The sequence below is a fragment of the Homo sapiens genome, chromosome 15 (assembly GCF_000001405.40).
Source record: "Homo sapiens chromosome 15, GRCh38.p14 Primary Assembly".
NCBI classification, from domain to species: domain Eukaryota; kingdom Metazoa; phylum Chordata; class Mammalia; order Primates; family Hominidae; genus Homo; species Homo sapiens.
Genome location: NC_000015.10, coordinates 53,200,547 through 53,222,104, shown reverse-complemented (window position 1 = coordinate 53,222,104; position 21,558 = coordinate 53,200,547). Strand labels below are relative to the sequence as shown.

Below are 21,558 nucleotides of genomic sequence, written 5' to 3'. Positions count from 1 at the left end.
GACCCTTACCTAACCTAGCCTTCCAAATGGATGCCACACTCTTTCCTCACCTGCACCCTTTGCAAGGACAAGGAGCTCCTCTTGACAAGGTTCCAGTTATGTGGCACAGCAGCTGATGAAGGACTTACCGAAATCGCTATTTCAGGGTGCATGTCATGAATCTATATAGAACTGCAAGCTCATGTCACTCTGTGCTTTCCTTGGATAGCACTCATCACAATGTAATTGATTAGTTGTGGTATAATTATTTATTCATGGGACCTGTGATTCTCAAACCTACCAGGTCCAAATCTCCTTTTTATGACAAATATTTTCCAGTACCTTTTTTTTACTAACCTGAAATGAAATGAATGGATAATATAACCTGCCTACACACATATTTTTTTAAAAATCAATATAATGCCCTAACTGTAATATAAAAAAGAAATAAAAGGAAAGTAAGTTATAATAAAACAGTACATATTTCAATATCTGAATTCCCTGGGTTAACTATGCTAGGAAACCTAATGAGGAAGTAGGCAGATGTTTTACCTGTAGGTAGAGTCACCAGGAATGTGATGTTACCAATATAGACTGATACAGGCATTTCGATTTGCACACCCAGACACCATGAATAGCCATCGAGGTATGATTTTCCAAAACGGTGAACGCTTCTTCTTTAAGTCCAATGGTTATTTACCTATTAAGAAAGGAATCCCAAAAAGTGCTGATGATTAATTTTTATTTAACATAAAACTGAGGCAGACCCATCATTTTCGTCCAGTCAAAGAAGTTTCAGAAACTGAAGACAGTTGGAAAAGGAGCCTACCTCACGCAGGCAAACACATGCCCCACTTTTTTTTTTTTTTTTTTTTGAGACGGAGTCTGGCTCTGTGGCCCAGGCTGGAGTGCAGTGGCACAATCTCGGCTCACTGCAAGCTCCGCCTCCCAGGTTCACACCATTCTCCTGCCTCAGCCTCCCGAGTAGCTGGGACTACAGGTGCCCGCCGCCACGCCTGGCTAATTTTTTGTATTTTTAGTAGAGACAGGGTTTCACTGTGTTAGCCAGGATGGTCTCGATCTCATGACCTTGTGATCCACCCACCTCGGCCTCCCAAAGTGCTGGGATTACAGGCGTGAGCCGCCGCGCCTGGCCTCGTGACCCACTTTTTAGATGTAGACAGAAATATCTGTCTGCCTCCAGCCATCCCGATCTACAAAACTAGAGCAGTTTTGAAGATTTTGCTGTGAATATGTATCACAGTTTAAGTTCTTTCTCATTAGAATGTGGTTCATGTTAAAAATCTAGAACATTTAAGCCAATCAAAACTAATGTTTCCTTTTTAAAATAACATTTTATAGCTCCCTTTTACCATCCTGAAAACAAAGTTCATAGATTACATAACCTACCATACATTTATTTTCAAAAAGTCAATATAATGCTAACAATAAGGGAACAATAAAAAGAAAATAATTTGTGAAAAAAATTATACATATCCACATTATTACATAAATGCTTGGGCACAAACATGCAAAAAGATACAACCAGCTAGTCTGAACTTCATGTTACGTATAGAATTGCTGTGAATGTCCTAGCTACAAATGCAAACTCATCTAAATGCATTGAACTGGTGACTCCAATACCATGAGTGACATTCCCATTGGCAACGTGATTTTTTGCAAAGGGTGAACAATTCTTGATAAAGTTGGGGAAATAAAACACAATCTTTCCTTGATTTACAATTGTATTTTTTAGATAAAAAATAAGTATAAAGTTAAAAATAAAATTACCATATGATCCAGCAAATCTGCTGCTGGGTATATATCCAAAAAAGTTGGAAGAGACTCTCAAAGAGATATGGGCACACCATTGCTCACAGCAGCATCATTCACAACAGCCAAGAGGTGGAAGCAATTCAAGTTCCATTACGGATGGATGGATAAACCAAATGTAGTAGAAGCACACAACAGAATATTATTGAGCCTTAAAGAGGAAAGAAATTCTGACATATGCTCTGACAAGGATAAACCTTGAGGACATTATGCTAAGTGAAATGAGGCAGTCACATAAAGATGAATACTATATGACTTCACTTAAATAAGATATTTAAAATAGTCCAATTCATGGAAACCAAAAGTAGAATGGTAGTCATCAGGGGGTGGAAAAAAGAAAAAGGAAATGTTGTTTAATGCGTACAGAGTTTCAGATTTACAAGAGGAAGTTCTAAAGATCTGTTGTACAGCAAATGTGAACGTACTTAACACTACTGAACTGTGCACTGTTTATATGGTTAAGATTTGTTAGGCTATGTTAAGTGGTTAAGACACTAAATTCTACATTAGGTGATTTTTTCACAGCAGAAAAAAAATCAGCACAAAATAAAATCATACAAAAGCCACTTCGTGTTTATATATTAACCGGTTTGATTGTAGATTAATTGCAAAGAGCTTTTGTCACCTACACGCCTGTTCCCCAAGATGTTTGAAAGATCATGCAGGATAAAGAAAAATTCTTCATTGCATGGGCCTGTCCTGCACATTGTAGAACACCTAGTCTCTCTCTTCTCTGCCATCCCAATGCCAACAGCATCCTCCAATAGTGTGACAACCCAAAACGTCCCCACAAATTTCCAAATGCTCCCTATGGGGTGGAACCATGCCCAATGAGAAACATGATGCTAGATGGTAAGTTGCATGACGACAAGGATCTGTGTCCCTTGTAACTGTATCCTCAGCACCTAACAAAGGTTTAGTACGCACTACTAAATTGTGTTCAATGAATAGCCATTGAGTAAATAAAGGAATGTACCCTTGAGCCTGGAGACTGTCTAGTTCATCTTTAGCCTTCCCTTCCCACCCCCACCCCAACCTCTGGCATGCCTAGGGCTCAGAAACATTTTTTATTCACTTACCAAATATATTATGCTGAATATGCAAATAATTGGATAAAACACACAACTCCTACCCTGTGGAAGTTACAGGCTGTTTAGAGAGACAGATAATAAACACATAAACAGTGTAACACAGCTAGGCCTTTAGTTTGGTCCCAACTTAATAATAATAGTTGTAAGGGAGTAGTAATAGTAGAGGTAGTGGTCATAGTAATACTGCTAATGACACTACTTCTCCCACCAGCTGTTATTTCCACCATTAGATATTATTTGTAGAGTATTAGTGGGACGCCAAGCCTATAACTTTCAATGCCTCTTCTAATTCTGACTCAGCTCTTACAAGCTCTGCGCTGTCAGAATCCTGCTGGCTGCCACAGCATCATTTCTCAACGCTTCCTCTTTCCCCACCCTCCACTGTACACTCCAGTCAACACTGTATTTCCTTCAGCTCCTCAAATATGCCATACTCCCTGTTCTGAACCATACACAGGCAGTCCTTCTTCCTGGAAGACCCTTCATTCCCACTCTGCCGGGGTAAGTCCTACTCATCAACTACACATCACTTCCTTTGGGCAGACTTCCTTGATCCTTTCCCAGTGCTTCTTCCTTGCGCTTCCATAGTACCCTGACCTTCCTCCACAGCAGCCCTTACAGCACTGCATTGCCCGTTTACTTATCTGTTTCCCCCATTAAGAGTGTAAAATCTATGAGGTTAGAGACCATGTTTATCTTTTGACTATTATATCTCTTAGTAGGAAACATTTGGATTTCCTGGAATCCCCTTTACCATCCCTGGTTTCTCTTCTCTGCCTTCCATATGCTTCTGTTTCTAACAGACTGTGTCTGCAACCCTCTTTGGAGGGCTTGAGTTTATGTTCACCCTTCACCCATGGGACAGCCCTTAGCCAATGACTGATTGGTACTGGAGTACGAAAGTCCAGATCCCTTTTCCATAGGTGGGAACAAATACTGCAGCATAACTTATTTTCCAGCGATCCCCTTCAAGATCAGCTTCAAGCCACCCTCTATGGGTCTTTGCCTGAAATGGCACCCTTGCTTGTCTTCTTCTCCCTTGCTGTTTCCACTGTTCTGTTACAGGTTTCTCCTGGAGGCATTCCTTTACAAATCACTCTCACACAAATCCTTGTCTCAGGGTCTACTTCTGGCAATCTCAACCTAAGCTATGCCCTGAAAAACTAATATAGTATCTGATACAGAGTAGAATCCAGTAACTGTCTGTAAATTAATCAATCACTTATGATAGAATCCAACAAAGTAGCAAGTATATTTATTCCCATCTTATGTATGAGGAAACTGAAGCTAAGGGTAAGTAGAGTAAGCTCTAACCCACACAGCTGGCACTTGGAGATCCAGGAACCAATTCCAGGCACATATATGGCTCCAAACTAAACTTTTCAACAGCACTATGTTCCACCCAGCACTAGTTCGATGTTTTCGGAAATGGCAGAAGGCACCATAACCCTTGGGTATCTACTAGTTCTAAATTCCCTTCTAGTGGTAGCTTCTCCTAGAACCAACATTCACTCAAAAACAGAACCTTCACAGCCCTGGGAAGATATACTGCTTCAATGTGATTTACCAGATGACATTTCTGGAGTTCAATCTTGTTATCAACTATCAGGAAATCTTCAAAGTGTCAAAGCCAAATAAAGATCTATTCCCTAACACAGGCAAGAGGAGGAAAATTTGCAGAAGTGTCCCATGCTATCAGGCATTGCCAAGGAGAAGGAGATAAAAAGTAATAGCCTAATTTTCGTTAAGTGATTGCTCTCATAAAGTAAAAGAGAACTTGTCCTTACCAGGACATTAACCCTGCGTTGCTCAGACAATTAAGGGAAGTCATAAATTAATCCATAATCATGATCCGAAAAGAAAATTTATCTTAGCACAGAGGGTAAGAAAAGAAGAAAATTGTCTTGGAGAGGATACTTCATCTGTTCTATTTTGCAAGACAAGCCATAACCCTCATGCTTTTATGCTTACAACTCTCTTTCTTTTATCCACACCATCCCATCTTATCTTCATCCCTCTTTTTCTCTCTCTGCTTCCCTCTCATCTTTACCTTAATAGCCCCTACCTCAAATCCTTGATCTCAAGATTTAAAAATGAAAACAGTGAATATTCTTTCACAGAAGCTGAAAGAGTATTTTTTTTGGTTTTTAGATTGCTTTAATCTGAAACGTTATTCAAAAAGCTTATCTTTTCACTAAAGACTATAGAGATCCTTCAGAACTGGATGTAAATGAAACTTAGGGAATGAAAACATCAAGATGGTTAAGGGATTGTGACTTGTTATCTTTGACTTTATTGTTGTTTCTCTTATTATTATTAATGATCATATTTAAGCAATAGATATGTGTTTGGAGAGAGAACAAAAGGAGGGAAGGAGGCAGAGGTGAGAATGTACTGACCACCTATGCTGTTCTATACACTGTAAATATATCTTATTGAGTCTTAATCAGAAATTTCTCAGATAGGTATTTTTATCCCCATTTTACAGATGTTGAAACTGAGCATGAAATCTTATTTCTCTTGCAAAGCCAGGATTTAGTTCCACCTCTATTTGTCTCCAAAGACCAGGCTTTGGGCTTTGAGATGAGGAATGACCAAGGAGAAGAGATGGATGATGGACGTAAGAGGCTTAAAAAACACTTACATAAAGCTCCTGTTGTTTTATAGTCCTCTAGTAAATAATAAGTTTGAAAGTGAGATCACTTTTGATTCTCCTTTGGCAGATGATTTTTTTTAACTGAGTTTGGAAGGGAAGAAGATGAGGATAATGGGACAAGGAGTCAGGGCCTTGGAGCAAGAAGAGATGTCTAATATTTTCGGATATGATTCTTCTTTATCATTCTTCCCATCAATCACACAGTCTGCATGCATTGCCTTGAGGGAAGGATGACATAGCGTAAGGAAGATTGTTTTTGGTATTTGAGATTCAAAAGCCAAGCCCTAAGGGAACAATAAGAATTCATGTGAGCATAGATAAGAAATTTAGAAGAATATGAGATAGTAAGTAAGCTTTTGTTCCTAGACGGAATCCTATAGAATAGCAGGAGGAGAGTGGACAGGGTAAGTTACAGAAGTTTGAGAAACTGCCAAGACAGGAGTGGAGCCCACACCCAGAGCCTGCTGTGTGTGTGGGCAGCACTGTCTTCCAACTTACTGCCCAGAGCCTCTAATATCTCCACTCCCAGATCCTCCACAGGGCAAGAGCAGGCAGAATCCTGGAGAGTGAATGATGCAGAAGACTAGCAGTGAGAAAGGGCAAGATGAGAAATAGGGTTAGAATCAGAGGAGGCTCGGTGGCCTGCATTCCTTCTTGTCATCAGTTTATCTGCTCTCTTTAGGGTCACTACAAAACAGACATATACAGAGCGCCAGCAAAATTTTCCAAAGCCAAACTCAATTTTTCAAAAATAAATGAAATTCATGTTGAATTTGTTGCTTCTGGTGTTTTTAAACCAACCTAAACCAACCACTTACAAAGTAGGATAGCTTTACAAAGAGGGCAAGGTGACTTTATAAAGTGTTTCTAGCTTCCTGGCTTCCCATAAAACTGCAGAAAATACAAAGCGTCTCTACAGAGCTTTAGAGAAATTCTCAGTGGAAGATTTGATATTAAATTTCTTCACCGAGTCAACCTACTTGGATTTCTCTTTCATAAGATCCTAATGTTTGAGTTTATTTGGGTTGTGTGTTATTCTTAAATAGTAGCCATCACTTGTTTATAAGCATATAAAAGGCATGTCTCCCCACTTTTTGACAAATATCAAACGAATAGAAAAACTGAAAGAAGAAGAGGGCATGGTATGCCCTTTACTTGTGCTTGTGTGGCCTAATAAAATAACACACCCATAATATTTTAGCAGAGATATTATAATGATCTTAGCATATTGCCTGACATGTTAGTGACTGATTATTACTTCTGGCATTTAGGTAGACTGGTTACCAACAGTATCTGGAGTATATAAAAATATCATGAAATACACAAATGGCATCTTGATGAAAGCATTATCAATATGCCTCAAAAATTGATAGTTCACCCTAAAAATCTACTTCTATAACAACATATGCATAAAGTTATTTATTACAGCATTATGGTAACTTCAAAATATTGGAATTAACCTGTAAACCTCTCACTAGATTTTGGTTGAATAAACCATGGTGCATCTACACAATAGCATATTATATAACCATCCAAAAGGATGAGAATGATCTCTATAAATTGATATGAATATATTATTTGTTAAAAAAGCAAAGCACAGAAGAGTGCATGTATAGTATACTATAACTTTCTATATATAAAAAGACAAACTATGGAAATATCTATATCTATCAATTACCTATCTATCTACTCTTATAGATACACAGGGAGAAATAAATCATAAAATATAAAATTGTACCTACAGAAATAAGTAAAAATATAGTAAAGGAACAGGAATGGGAAGGAGAGCTCTCTGATACCAGCTTGGTTTTTGTGAGACACTCTATAAGGAAATTAGCCTTGGCTATTTAAAAATGTCAAAAAAAATTTAAAAGGCTGAGAAATTATTCCTAGATTAAAGGAGACTAAATAGATATGACAACTAAATGTGTAATATAGTATTTTATAGGCTCTTGTATTATATATACACACATATATATTTATATATCTATACAGATTTTATTTATACATCTATATAGCTTTCTAACAAGCTTACATAACACAATGTTAACAACTGGTAAACATAACAGTTGTAACATTTGCAAAACTCAATTAATTTGCAATTTTCTTTTTATTAATTAGATTTGGCATGTTATAAGCCATTTGTCTTTCTTTTTTGATGAATTGTCTATTCATATTTTTCGTCCGTTTTTATTTTGAGTTGTTGGTCTTTATCTTACTGATTTATAGGGATCTTCATGTAATAAGAGAATAAGTTTTTTGTGTTGTAAGTTGCAGATATTTTCCCGAGTTTTTCTTTTATCATTTTATGGCATTTTGTTTCTCAGATAGATTTTTAAAGAATTTACTGTAGCCAATAGTTATCAAACCTTTCCTTTTGTTATAGTGTTTGGATTATGTTTACAAAGGCCATCCGAACTCCAACATGGTGCTCATGTTTTCCTCTACTACATTTATGGTTTACTTATATGTGTGTTTGTGTGTATGTGTGTGTGTGTGTGTGTGTGATTAAATATTTAAACCATGTGAAATGTAGATAAGTTTAAGTGAAGTAGGGATAAAATTTAATTTTTCTTCAGATGGCTATCCTATGGTTTAAACACCATGTATTGAATAATTTATTTTTCCCCATTACTAAATTCCTGTATGTATTTAGGCCAATTTCCTATATATTATCTCCTTTAATTTTTAAAGTAATCTTGTAAGCTAGGTATTATTACTATATACCTAGACGAACCTACTTGGGGAGGGGAAAGCTTTTATTCCAGAGCTCAGAAAATATGACGGCAATAGAATGTGAATACGAAGACTTGAAGAAAATTTAGGACCATGGCAAATGCATTTGTGTTAGATAAAAGCTTCATAAATTAATAAATTTCACTGTATTTATTATAGCTCTAGCCAAAGGAAATAAATGCAATAAATGCCTTGTTAAAAAAAATACCATGTTATTGGCTAAATTATTAGTGAGCAGTGACCCTAATTAACAAGGTAATAACTTGCCTACTTGCTGATGGGGCAGTTTTTCAAAATTCATCTGTGCCAGGTAAGCCTTCCCTACAGGATAAGAAAATGTATTATATTTAGACAAATGTAAAAAACAAACAAAAAAACAGGATTCTGACAACTGATCAGGACTCAAAAAGACATGTGTCTTATTCCCTAGGCCTCCTTCCAGCCCTGCCCTCTCCCATTCCCTATTTGAGGAGATAGTAGAACACCTGCCCTCATGAGAAAGAATGATCTATCTTATTTCTCAAGAATAGGTCTTGGGATCCTCTGCTGCTTTTCCTCTTAAACCTCTTCTTTGCTACAAGCTGTAGTTCTCAGGTACCCAGTAGACTGGACTCTAAGATGCTGATTATCCAAATTTGTTTGCTCCCTAAGAATTCAGTGTTTATGACAGTGTGACCCACAGCATATTGAAGTCTAATATCCTCAAGCAGTGAGCAGAAAGAGGCTTTAGCTTTGCATGATTACTGAAAGCTGAACAGCCTGCCCAGTGTTCCTCTGATTTTCATTTTCCGAGCTTTATGCCAGGGAAAAGAGGTCAGGGAAGGTCAATTCTATCCACACTGCTGATCCCACACTGAACATTGATCTGAACAGGCGAGGCCAGAAGAGTTAGCCCTAATGTAAACGTGAATAAAAAGGCAACCGCCATGGTCTTTGAGATTAGTAATAAAAACCAAATACACTGGGACCCATTTACTTATGTTTTTAATAGAGCAGTGGTGTGGGGAAGGTAATATTTAAATTCACATCTGAATCCACAGAAAACCAAAATAGCCCTGCTTCCAAGAATCTTGTTTTCTGACAATCAATTATTAATATTAATTCAAAAAGAATCTCCTCTGCTTCCCTAAAAGTTTAATTAAGAAGTGTAAGAAGTGTGTTCTAACAAGTCTGATACAGGCTCAGATTCAAATCCGTCCATCAATCCATGAATCAATACTTATCAGACTCCAACAAAATAAAATATCTACTCAGATGAGGTTCCCTTCAGAGAATAATTTGACGTTCTCATCTTCTCCTGATTCAGTAATTTAGGAAAACGTGAAGTGTGACTACAAAGTAATGATACTGATTCCACTTGTCACACATGAAAATCAACCTTGTCATTTATATAATTCCAGTCACTTATATAATTTGGAATCTCATCACTTATATAAATTGGAACACTTTGGGGAAACAAAGAAAATTCTTGTTATGGGTTATATATTAGGATAAATTGATATTGTGGCTGATTTAATTCACTGTTCCTATAAATTAATAGATTGGGTTTAATTTCAGTTTTAGAGTTTTATGGGTTCAAGTATCTGAAATATACCAAGGATCACCCAGGGGCAAGGCTGTGTAGTGTGGTGTGTGCATATGCATGTGTGTATGTGTGTACATGCATGGGCATGTTGAAAGTGGGACTGCAGGGTAATAGTAAAAGCAGAAAACATAACTTTAAGAGTTTGAAATCTAACTGAATGGACAACAACTAACAGCCCCGTCGCTAACAGCTGTGTGACCTCCAGCAAGTTACTGAGCTTCTCTCTGCCTGTTTCCTTGTCTGTAAAATGCAGGTAGTAATAGTAACTACTTCCTAAGCCTCAGGTGAGGATTAAGTGAGCTCATATATGTAAAGTGCTAAGCACAGTCAACACTGGACTTGGTGATGATAATAATGACTATGGTACTGCAATAACAGTGCAGAGAGATATTATTGCATTTATTGCAGCAACATTGTCATCAGCGTTCAAGATTTAATTTTGGAACTGGAAGAAATCTTAACTTTCAAAGTTGCTTGGTTCAAATACACTGTTTCACAGGGAATAAATTGTGGCAACATAGAGGTGATATGACTGCCAATGTTAGTGATAGGTGGAGGCCTAGAAAGAACCCAGTCTCCTGACTCCTTTGCCTTGTTTGTGTAATTATGAGGAAGGAGAGATATTTTGTGTGTTAGAGAGGGTTACTCAAAAACTCAGTGAATGAATACTGTCAAAGCAGTTTGAGGCACGAAAAGGGTAGACATTAAGTAAAGTCAGACACCAGTCAACAGCATTTATTGATTTATTTCTGTGTGAAGAGCATTGTATTATGTGCTGAATGGGAATGCTGTATTCTTATTCTTCAAGGCATAGAAGTTGACCTGGTATAGGTTGACCTGAATTTTTCTGTAAAAGCTTTCTCTAGATGGCTGCTTAAGCAGCTGTTAATCGAAAGAGAAAACTCCATTCCCCGCACCTTTCACTCTTCAACTTCACCAGTGCTCCCAGTGTGCCTTGGGATGCAGTAGACTCCTTTACCAGCACTCACCAAGTAGCTTGCCCCAGACCTTGGAAAGACTCTTGGTCCCGAAGTATAGGCTAAGAAATTAGGCTCGACAGTATTTTATTTTTTAAAAACCTGTGTATTGTGCAATAAAGATAAAGCCATCATTATTCTTACATAAAATCTTTTCAAGTTTATTAACCCTAAAGCTTGAATATTTAGTTGAATCCAATGTTCTTAGATCGTATTCTATTTCTCCCTGCAAATTATAGAGAAATCACCAATAAACATCCTGGTTCATAATACGAGAGCTGCAACGATTTTTGCCCTTGCCTCTGTCTCTGCAACAGAAAGGGAGAGAGAGGAGAGAATGGATTTGGCATTCTAGCTGAGCTCCAGGCACCCATGCATCCATGCAGCATATGCACTTCAAAGGGTACTGGGCAGCCACCAAGAGAGGCCCCAAACTGCACCCTCACCAGGTACTGTGGTTTAGTTGGTCTTCACTCCCTGCCCCCACTGCACCTCCACTTAATATTCACTTTTATTGCAACCACATTCTTCACAATTGATCAGCAGTTTCTTTTGGAAATTCAGGATAAAAAAAAAACAGTCATTTCCAGCAGGTACATTCTTCATGTCTTGATTTTTTATTTACTCTATATTTTTGATAAAGGTGTATTGGAGGTATATTTGTTCTCTGCACATGTGTGTTTGTGTGTGGAGTGAGGGGTGGTAGTCACCAAAGGAGATGCCAGGAATCTTGAGCTGTAAAAGAGATAATAATTAAAAGAGAATTTCAAGGTGGGATTTTTCTGTGAACTGACTAAACTCTGTGAATGATCAGGCACATCAAAACATAAAGACAAGCAAACAACCTTCTCTCGGTTCTATACTTTTCAGGCTCAAATAAAGCTGAAACTTACAGAACTTGAATATTTAATTGCATCCAGTGTTCTTAGACTTTTTATTTAGAGCTGGATGCTTTTGCTTATAAGGCCCTAGGATTGTGCTTATAATATGGCTGGGAGAGAAAAGACCTCAGTGCCAGACTTCTCAGTGGGGCTGGAACTAGAAATAGATAGGTGATAGATAGATAGATAGATAGATAGATAGATAGATAGATAGATAGATAGATAGATAGATAGATAGATTAGATAGATAGATAGTAGATAGATGGATAGATAGAGGATAGAGAGATGGTAGGTAGATAAATAAATAGATTGGTAGACAGATGGCAAATAGTAGATAGATAGACACATATATACATAGAGGGATAGACAAAACAGAAAAGAGTGAAATAAGTGGATTAGTATAAAGGGAGAAAAAGTTCCACTTTTAAAGAAAAGTGGAAAACAAAGCTCTCATTATTACCAAATGCATTTGCCCTAACAACGTGTTTTGTGGTTTCGTTGCCGCAGTTTTTCTCTCTCAAAAGAATTACTATTCATGAGTTATAAACAGGAGAGTGACGCATACTTATAGGAAGCAGCCAGTAAATATACGTAAGTAAAGAAGTTCTGTATTATTTTCCTTTTAAATTTTACATTGTTTATTGTTTATTATTCAATTTTTTCTGTTAGATTCATCCCTGTTGCCTGAAAACAATTGGTTTTTATGCCTAAAGAGGAGGAAATCCTTCCCTTAACTCCAATGGATCAAAGAAGTCTTCTTGGAAGAGGAGCATTTTCTCACTGCTCAGAGGAAAGAAAGACAGGGACTTTGTTTGAACTAATCTGGAAAAAATGATGACGCTTCACTCAGTTATTTTAAAATCTGGCCACGAGGATATTTTTGAAACCTCGTCATAAGAATATCATTTGTCCTATGACACAGTTGCTGTTTATCCGATTATCTAAGTTAATGATAATAAGATATACACAAATTAATGTTACTCCTTGGACTCAAAATTTGAGCCTGAAATGAAGCGAGTGACTTCATTTCTCCATTTTACAGAAGTTGGAAGCTCATTTTAAAAATCTGCCACACTGTACATTAATGAAATGGGGTGTGTCTGGGATTCTCTGACTCTACTTCATTCAATTAGTTGTCTCTAACACACTTATCTTAGAAATCTTAAGATGGTGAGAAATAGCCCACGTTCCTCATTCTTAGCATTTACAAAGCTTCACACATATGTTCTCTCCCTCCACCACTGCCTCCCATGATTCAGTCACTTCATATTGTAATACTTTGGTGATTATTGATTTTTGGTTAAGGTTGGAGCCCAGTACAACTGTGTGAGCATTCACTGCCTTCAATTTGATGGCACGCTGCTGCCTGCCCACTCCATATTGACAGACATCCTCTTACTTTCAGATTGTTGTTCGTTGGCTGATGAACACGCAGGAGGGAGATCATGACCTTTTCTCTTATCTGGACAGCTCTTAGCTTCACAAACATTTTTTTTTGCTGCAGGGTGCTATTAACAACAGGATGATAGAACAAAGAAATGAAGAGATGAGAAGCACATCAATGTATAAAATTTTCTTTATTAGGACACCCTCGAGGCCCAAGAAGGGGGGTGTCTAATTATCAAAGTGTTGACTTTCTCCTCCTTAGAAAAACAAATTTTACACACGCGTGCACACACACATACACACATGCTCTAATGAGGTCACGATTTGAAAATTAAGGGTTACTCATTCCCTTCATTCATGGGAGTTTGCAACTCTCCTTTCACTGGAGATCAGTTTATGTGAATAGAAAAGAAAACCAAAGTAATTGAATTTATTATACAGCAGTCATGAGTTAAGACAAGACACATTATAATTAGTTGCAGCATATTGATGATTAAAATTTAATGAGCTCATTTTTCCTATATTTGAAGGAGTGTAAGTTTAGCTCTGTGGGATTACTTAGGGCAAAGGTGTTAGAAGCATAGGCAAATTATTACTAGTCTGGGTTTGCATGCCTTTTTGCCTCACAAGCCTTGTATTTGAATTTAAGGGCCCTCAAAGTATAGAGAATAGAGACATTTTCAGATGAAACCCTGTCTTCAATTCTAACAGATCTATTACTTATTTTCTGTGCAGCTCTGAAGGAAAATTTTGAACCTATAGGTGTGGAGACTATCCTAAGAGAATATCCTGCCTTTCCTTTGCGGTGTGTTAAATTCAACCCAAAATTTCTCAGATCACTGGATTTATGCTGGGGCTGTTTAGCTTAAGCCAATATTCTTGATAATAAAAAGCTAAAATTTAAAAAGAAAAGATAAAAATAGCTGTAAGGAAAGCTATAGAGCAAGCACCTATGTAACAAAATGATGTTGATACTAGGAATGAACACAGATGTTTGCAGCCTTGTCTCTGTGACAACATTAATTATTCCAAACTGGTCATCTCTATAGACTTTGTTTCCCACTATGAATGACTAATCACTTCCTTGTTTTAGGTCCCAAATCCTAATACAAATATCTGATAATGTGTAAATCAACAATATTATATTTTTTAAAATCTCATGTTAAGTTATAGAGGTACAAAATACTATCTGAAAACACTAACTTCTTTAATTTTAATTGTGGCTAGTTTTTTCCCTCACATTTTGTTTAAGGTAAAATCCCCTCTGGCTTGAAAACATACTCCCTATGTCAAAAATACGTGAAAATAGAGGTGTAAAAAGGAAACACTATACAATCAAAGGTCTAATGGCCCCAGCAGGACATAACCAATAAATATAAAGTAGTTTAAAAGGGTGCAGGGGAGATGATTTGAAATTCCAATGAGCACTGTTTTGTATTTTTGTATAGTATTTTATCTAAGCATCCCAACCCATCCAAACTGCATGAGCATTAAAGCAATACATCTTATATCTCTGTAGAGGTGATAATATCCTTTTCTCCAGAATGAGTGCATCATTTTTGGAGATGCATGGAGAATGAGAAAAAAATTCCCAGGGCAATGTTGGCCCTGAAGTTGTGCCACCAGGAAAATCCTCTCGTGGTCTCTGATACAGCATCCTCAACCCTACCCAGAGACTACAATCATGTACAGAAATATTGGCGTATAAAGCAAAAAGGGTGAGCTTAATTGCCATCCCAATTCACTTATTTATTAACTTTTAAGTGAAGGGAAAAAGAGCTAGTCCCTTCCAGTCTAGCTGTTGGTTAATGGAGATTTTCTATTAGCCATCATCCACATATTTCTACTGCAGTTAAGACTGTTGCTCAAAATTATGGCCTTAAAGCATAACCTTGATGTGCTTCTGAATCATTAAAGCAGGACCATATTACATTCATCAGTGTGTCCATGTTTCATGAATTTTACAGTACTGAAAATTCTTCCTGAGCTAGCTACAAGTGGGGGATTCATGGATACTCTCACCAACAAGAGACTTTGGCCAAAACCCTCTATTTCTCTGATGGTGCTGAATAAAGATATGGCATCTCATACTGAGATGAGCGAGGATAAGACTAAACCATAAACTGGGTGAGGCAGAAAAACAGGATTTTTCTCATGAATTATCCAGTTTTCTAGGGCCCTACAGACCTACCCAAAGATTGAAAAAAACTTGAAAACTGGAATTTGTCAACAAAATACATCCCTTGGAAAGGTTCCATAGCTACTCCAGATAAAACCTACATTGGTCATGACCAATCTAATTAGAATCTTTCATCAGACAGGTATGTTTAGAATTTTATTTTTATGCCTATATTCTTATTTTGTTTTTTATGACTATGTAGCAGTGTCCCCCAAAATTCCTCTCTACTGAGAACCTCAAAATGTGACCTTATGTGGAAATAGGGTCTTTGAAGATGTAATTAAGATGAGGATACTGGATTAGAGTGGGCCCTAAATCCAATAACTGGTGACCTTACAAGACAATAGCAACAGAGTGATACACAAAGAGGAGACTGCCGTGGGAAGATGGAGGCAGGGATTAGAGAGATGCACCCACAAGCCAAGGACGCCAAGGATTGCTGGCAACTATCAGAAGCTAGGAGAGAGGTCTGGGTTGGTTTCTTGCTCAGAGACTTCAAAAGAAACTAACCTTGCTGACAATTTGATTTCAGACTTCTGGCCTCTGGTACTGTGAAAGAATACATTTCTGTGGCCTTAAGCCACCTGGTCTGTGGCAATTTGTTACAGCAACCGTGTAAAGCTAATACAGACTATATCCTCATCATCACCATTATTATCATAACTAATATTTATGTAGACTCTATTCCCAAATAAGGTCACATTTTGAGGTTCCGAGTACAGAGCAATTTGGAGGTATACTATTCAACCTGTTACATGATCATAAAAACAAAATAAAAATATAGTCATAAAAATAAAAACCCAAAGAAATATAAATCATTCTACTATAGAGACACATGCATATGTATGTTTATTGCAGCACTATTTACAGTAGCAAAGTCATGGAACTAACCCAAATGCCCATCAATGATAGACTGGATAAAGAAAATGTAGTACATATACACCATGGAATACTATGCAGCCATAAAAAGGAATGAGATTATGTCCTTTGCAGGGACATGGATGAAGCTAGAAGCCATCATCCTCAGCAAACTAACACAGGAAGAGAAAATCAAACACCGTATATTCTCACTCAAGTGGGAGTTGAACAATGAGAACACATGGACACGGGGAGGGGAACACCACACACCGGGGCCTGATGGGGGTGGCGGGGAAGGGGAAGGAGAGCATTAGACAAATAGCTAATGCACATAGGGCTGAAAACCTAGATAACGGGTTGATAGGTGCAGCAAACCACCATGGCACACGTATACCTATGTGTACATGGCACAGAACGTGTATGTAACAAACCTACACTTTCTGCACTTGTATGCCAAACTCAAAGTAAAATAAAAATATATTAAAAATAGAATAAAATCCCAAATGTATCTGTCTGATGAAAGATTGTCATTAGATGGGTCACAGACAATGTAGGTTTTACTTGGAGTAGCTATAGAACCTTTCCAAGGGCTACATTTTATTGACGAGGTCTGGCTCTCAAGTTTTTTAATCTTTGGATAGGTCTGTAGAGCTCCAGATAACTGGATAACTCAGGCTATGCAATGTGCTTTTTGTATAGTATCTTATTGAATCCATCTGACAACCCATGGAGGAAAATGTGGTTATTATTGTTTCCATTTACATATGAGAAAACTGACTCTTGAAGACATTCAAGGCCCCACAGAAAGAGAAGAGCTGAGACACGAATCCAGTTATCGCTAACACCCATTATTCTTCTAGAAAATCACACTTACATAAAATAAGATGCTCTCAAAGATTCTCTTTTTTAAAAATCTAACAACATTTAGCCTGGGCTCAATATAAATGCGACGCGATTTCTTATACCTTTTATACCTATGCCCATAATACAGCACACTCATAATTAATGTTTAAAATGATGAGCCAAATGTATTGAAAGTCTTTAGTTACCATCATAGCCCCTCTAATGTATTTCATAAACCACAGAAGTGGACATTTTGGCAAACTGTCCAAAAAGAAATAATACAAAAAGGGATTTTTTTTTTTGCTTAAATATTTACCAGAAGACCATATTTTTCTGCTTGGTTAATTGGATTGTTATTATATTTGTAAACCTAGATCTTTTCTCCAGAGAAGATGGGCAAACCGTTTTACATATGGAAGAAGGAAAGTCCATCCCACTCTCTTCCCTTCTCTGGCACCACGACACAACACACACTACTATTTTTGTGCATAGGACTGGCAGCATAGCCCCAAAGGGCTGTAACACTTTCATTTCCAAGACTTTTGTTTTGCTAACCTTGAAATGACCCACTATGTCTTTTTCAGGCAGCCACTCACCCTCATTTTAGCTGAAAGCAGCTTTTAGAGAAATAAAAGATAGAAACATGTGTTCGACATTTAACAAATATTTATTGAGTACCTATTACATAGAAACCTGCTTATAGTTTTGGATTTATTGACATATACATAAATATGTGACAAATGTAGAAATAAAAGTCATGTGAATCAAAACATGATAGATGTCCAGAGGAAGGTGTCGAGTGGGGGTGACCATGAGAAGCTTCATGGACGAAGGGCAATGAAGGGCTTAGTTCAGGAGGCTGTCTGTGATCTGGCTGTGTGAGAGATGGGGGAGCTTGGAGTGAGGGGATACAAGCCAAGAATAGGAAAAGAGGTTCCATGATATAGTTCCTCCCTGCAGTGAAAGGAACAATGAGTCCTATAATGCACTGGACAATGAGCTCCTGGAATGCAGGAAATTTGCCTTGGTAAAACTTCGTGTCTTCAGACCCTGGCATAAAGTAGCTGCTGAAAAATCTATACATGTGAATGTTCAATACATGAACCAATGAGTAAATAAATGGGCATTATGTTGCAAACAGAAAAGTAAATGAAAGATCCATCTCTCTTTCAAAAGCTAAAGGTAGAAGCAGTGGCCTTTGGAACTCAAGAAGAACCAGCCCCTAGCATTGTTTAAGAGGCTATGAAGCAGTAGTGGAGAGCTCTACGCCCTCTTCCTCACCAGTTTATCCTCAGTACCTTGCTATCCAAATGGGAGCTTCCCCCGAAACAATCTGGAGGTCAGAGGCCAGAGGGGAGTGCAGAAAGAAAGGAGCTATCTGGATAGCAAGGCCACAGAGAACACAGGGTGAGGAGAAGAGTGAGGGCTGCCTTGTCTGGCAAACTGCCTGGCTGTGGAAATCTGACCTGTGCAAAAAGAAAGCCTGACAGAACTTCTAAGTCAGTTTCCAAGAACAAATCTATTTTTAGATAACCGTTTCTTTCAGCAACAGACCTCCAGGTGCAGAGAAGTACTTAGAATTTGTCGCAACAAAACAAATATGGGGTTCTAAGGTTTATATTGTTTTATAATATTTTCTCTTTCACAAATGGAACTCTTAATATGGACACAAACCCCCTAAATCCATTGTCCGATGCATTAATTGGGGGTGAGGGAGAATGATTAATAAGAATAAATAAGAGCCTTATCTACTGAAGAAAACACCAGTGACTTGTTCTACACGCAGTGAAGTCAGTGATCCAGTTCATTCATTCACTTGGGATAGCCTCAGCTCACATCAGGCTCTGTAAATGCCCACACTACAGTTCTCAAAATACAGGTACTTCCAGGGAATTTCTGGGCTGTCAGCTCCTGAACCACCTGGCAATCAGGTGAGAAATCTCATGCAAGTCTGATGCCATTTCAAACTCAGTAAAAGCATGATAATAGATCATCACACAGTAAAGACAGCGGTGCTTTAGCTAGGATCAGGGACCCTGCATTCCACAAATAACTTGGGCCAGGGTAGGCAAAGGGCCTAGAGAGGGTTTGAGCACCCACTCCCAGCCCCAGACCACAAGGAGAGATTTCTGTCTGAAGATCTTTCATTCAAAAAAGTGTTCTTCCAACCCAAAGTTAAGATATTGGGAAAGGCAGCTGTGAGGTGAACAGAGCATAGACCAGCAGCCAGTGGACTCAGGGACTAATTCCAGCTTCACCGTTTCTCAGTAGAATGATGAGGAAGGAAATCAGCATCTGCTGGGAGCTACGCAACTTGCTAGGGGCTTTCCCATGCTTTATGTTCTCTAAGCATCAATTTTCCCATGCATAAAATGCAGATAGCAATGTTTCCTCTGCTTATTTCTCCGGGAGCTCTGTGAATTCTAAAGCAGCTTTGTACATCTAAAAAGATTATCTATGTGGTCTTTGAGGGATGTCTTTGTATATCTGGTCTGATACAAGCTGTGATGAAAGTGGATATGTCCTCCCAGCAAATATTAAATCATACTCGAGTAAGTACAGCCACGGAATCATTTCCACCATCATCTTTCCTAATGGGGAACACAATGACTTAAAGCATCAGCTGATGTAAAGACAGATTGAACTCACCATTATATACATGTATATATACTAAAAAGGTGAAGGCAGGATTAGAGAAGAGCTTGTGGCTGTTTTCTTTCTTCTTTACTTCCTTCCTTTGTCCTTTCGTTCTTTCTTTTTTTGTTCTCTGTAATCACCAATATCATAACCTAAGGGTGACTTAAACTTGTCCTTTCTCCTAGTCTCAATTCCAGTCCCACAGTAAATCTGAACTCTCATGGTGATGATGGTGGTGCTACCCTTTGGTGAACACTTACATGTCAAACCCATTGCCAAGTACTTTCCATACATCCTCCCATTTCCCCTCTCAACAACTCTCTGATGTAGTCACTATTATCCCCATTTTACAGAGGAGGAAAGTGAGAAAAAAAAAAAAAGATTTAGAAACTTGCCTAAGATCACAGAGCTACTATGTGCCAGAATGCAGGCCTATGTGACCAAAAACAACTGTGCCCTCACTCACCACACCATATGACCTCCAGAATTTCTGTTCTACCACTGAGTAGCTAAACTTCTGTTTCTGTTGATAAAACTACAACCCAAAGTGCCAGGTGACACACCAAGAACAGCTGTGACCATATTCAGCTGCATTTGCTGATGAATATGAGTCCTAGTTCTTCCTTCACAGACACCAGGGCTGGTAACTGCATGTTGACTTCTAATGCTGCACTTGTGTCCATTTTGACACAAACAGCATGTGTAGAAGGAGCACAAGGGAGGAGCAGGTAGCCACTCCATGTGCACTTCTAGCAGCACCCCAGCCCCAGCCATGCACTCTAACGAGGCCAAGTTTCTTCCCTGTGTCTTTCACATCGGACAGGGATTGCACATAGACTGTTCCTTCCTTGCCTAGAATCCCCTCTGTGGAGAATCTGAGGAAATGGCTGGAGCCCATGAGAAAATGTAGAAACACACAAGCAACAGAGATGAGCATTCACTGGAAGCAACAGAACCTGTGTGGAAATGAGTATGGCTCACTTCATCACATGTATGCTGGGCCAATTCAAGTGTTCTGAGCACCATTCAGCTAGTGTTTGAAATGAGTTCTAGGTCTTGCATCCCCCACATTTCTGCCTTCCTGAGCCCATGCCCGGAAAATGTGCTCAATGGCTTGCATGGACCTTACATTGACCACAATTTGTCACTTCCCCTTCTGCCAGCCCAATATGATCCCTGGCTTCTATATACACTGTTCAGTATAGTGACACTACACCAGAAGAAGAATAGGGAGCCCAGTTTTGTCCCAGCCTCCCTCCTCTCATTAACCTTGTGCCATTATCCAAAAGCAATTAACCTACCTGAATATAAGTTTCCATATCTGAGAAATGGGTATAAAGTTAACCGCCATGATTATTCCTATGCGCTCTGACATATAGTATTATTAATTTAAGTAAAGTTTTTGTTGTCCCAAATTTATCACCTTATTTTCTAGATATTGTCAATTCCAAATACCATTCTGAGAACATGATACTTAAAGCCATACATGCTTCCCCAAATATCCATGACCCACGCTTTTTTTTTTTTCCTTTTGACAGAGTCTCACTCTGTCACCCAGGATGGAGTGCAGTGTTGTGATCTCAGCTCACTCCAACCTTCCCCTCCCTCTCCTGCCTCAGCCTCCCAAGTAACAGGGATTATAGACACCTACCACCACGCCTGGATAATTTTTGTAGTTTTAGTAGAGACGGGGTTTCCCCATGTTGGCCAGGCTGGTCTGGAACCCCTGACCTCAAGTGATCTGCCCACCTCGGCCTCCCAAAGTGCTGGGATTACAGGCGTGAGCCACCACGCCCAGCCTCATGCTCATATTTTGAGTCCAATTGGACCAAACAAAAGCCAACCAACCAAGAGGATTGTCTACTCGACTGACACAAGGTTCTGAAAAGAATTATTTTGCTTCTGTAATACACTGAG

General features: G+C 38.5%; 1 long non-coding RNA gene across 2 annotated transcripts in view, besides 2 other annotated features; it reads right to left on the bottom strand.

Annotated features, from left to right (window-relative positions):
- Positions 1-450: 450 nt before the first annotated feature.
- The window catches only part of LOC107983981 (uncharacterized), a 417,903-nt gene continuing 396,795 nt past the window's right edge, over positions 451-21,558 (bottom strand). For both annotated transcript variants that reach the window (XR_932257.3, XR_004837531.2), the window contains one exon: positions 451-679. This is a non-coding gene — a long non-coding RNA (uncharacterized LOC107983981). The remainder of the gene's footprint in view (positions 680-21,558) is intronic.
- Positions 18,319-18,613: an enhancer, noted in NCBI's record as "tiled region #13260; K562 Activating DNase matched - State 10:DNaseD". NCBI's record gives its function as "activates a minimal TATA promoter and a strong SV40 promoter by Sharpr-MPRA in K562 cells {active_cell/tissue: K562}" and the evidence as "EXISTENCE:reporter gene assay evidence [ECO:0000049][PMID:27701403]".
- Positions 18,319-18,613: a silencer, noted in NCBI's record as "tiled region #13260; HepG2 Repressive non-DNase unmatched - State 23:Low". NCBI's record gives its function as "weakly represses a minimal TATA promoter and a strong SV40 promoter by Sharpr-MPRA in HepG2 cells {active_cell/tissue: HepG2}" and the evidence as "EXISTENCE:reporter gene assay evidence [ECO:0000049][PMID:27701403]".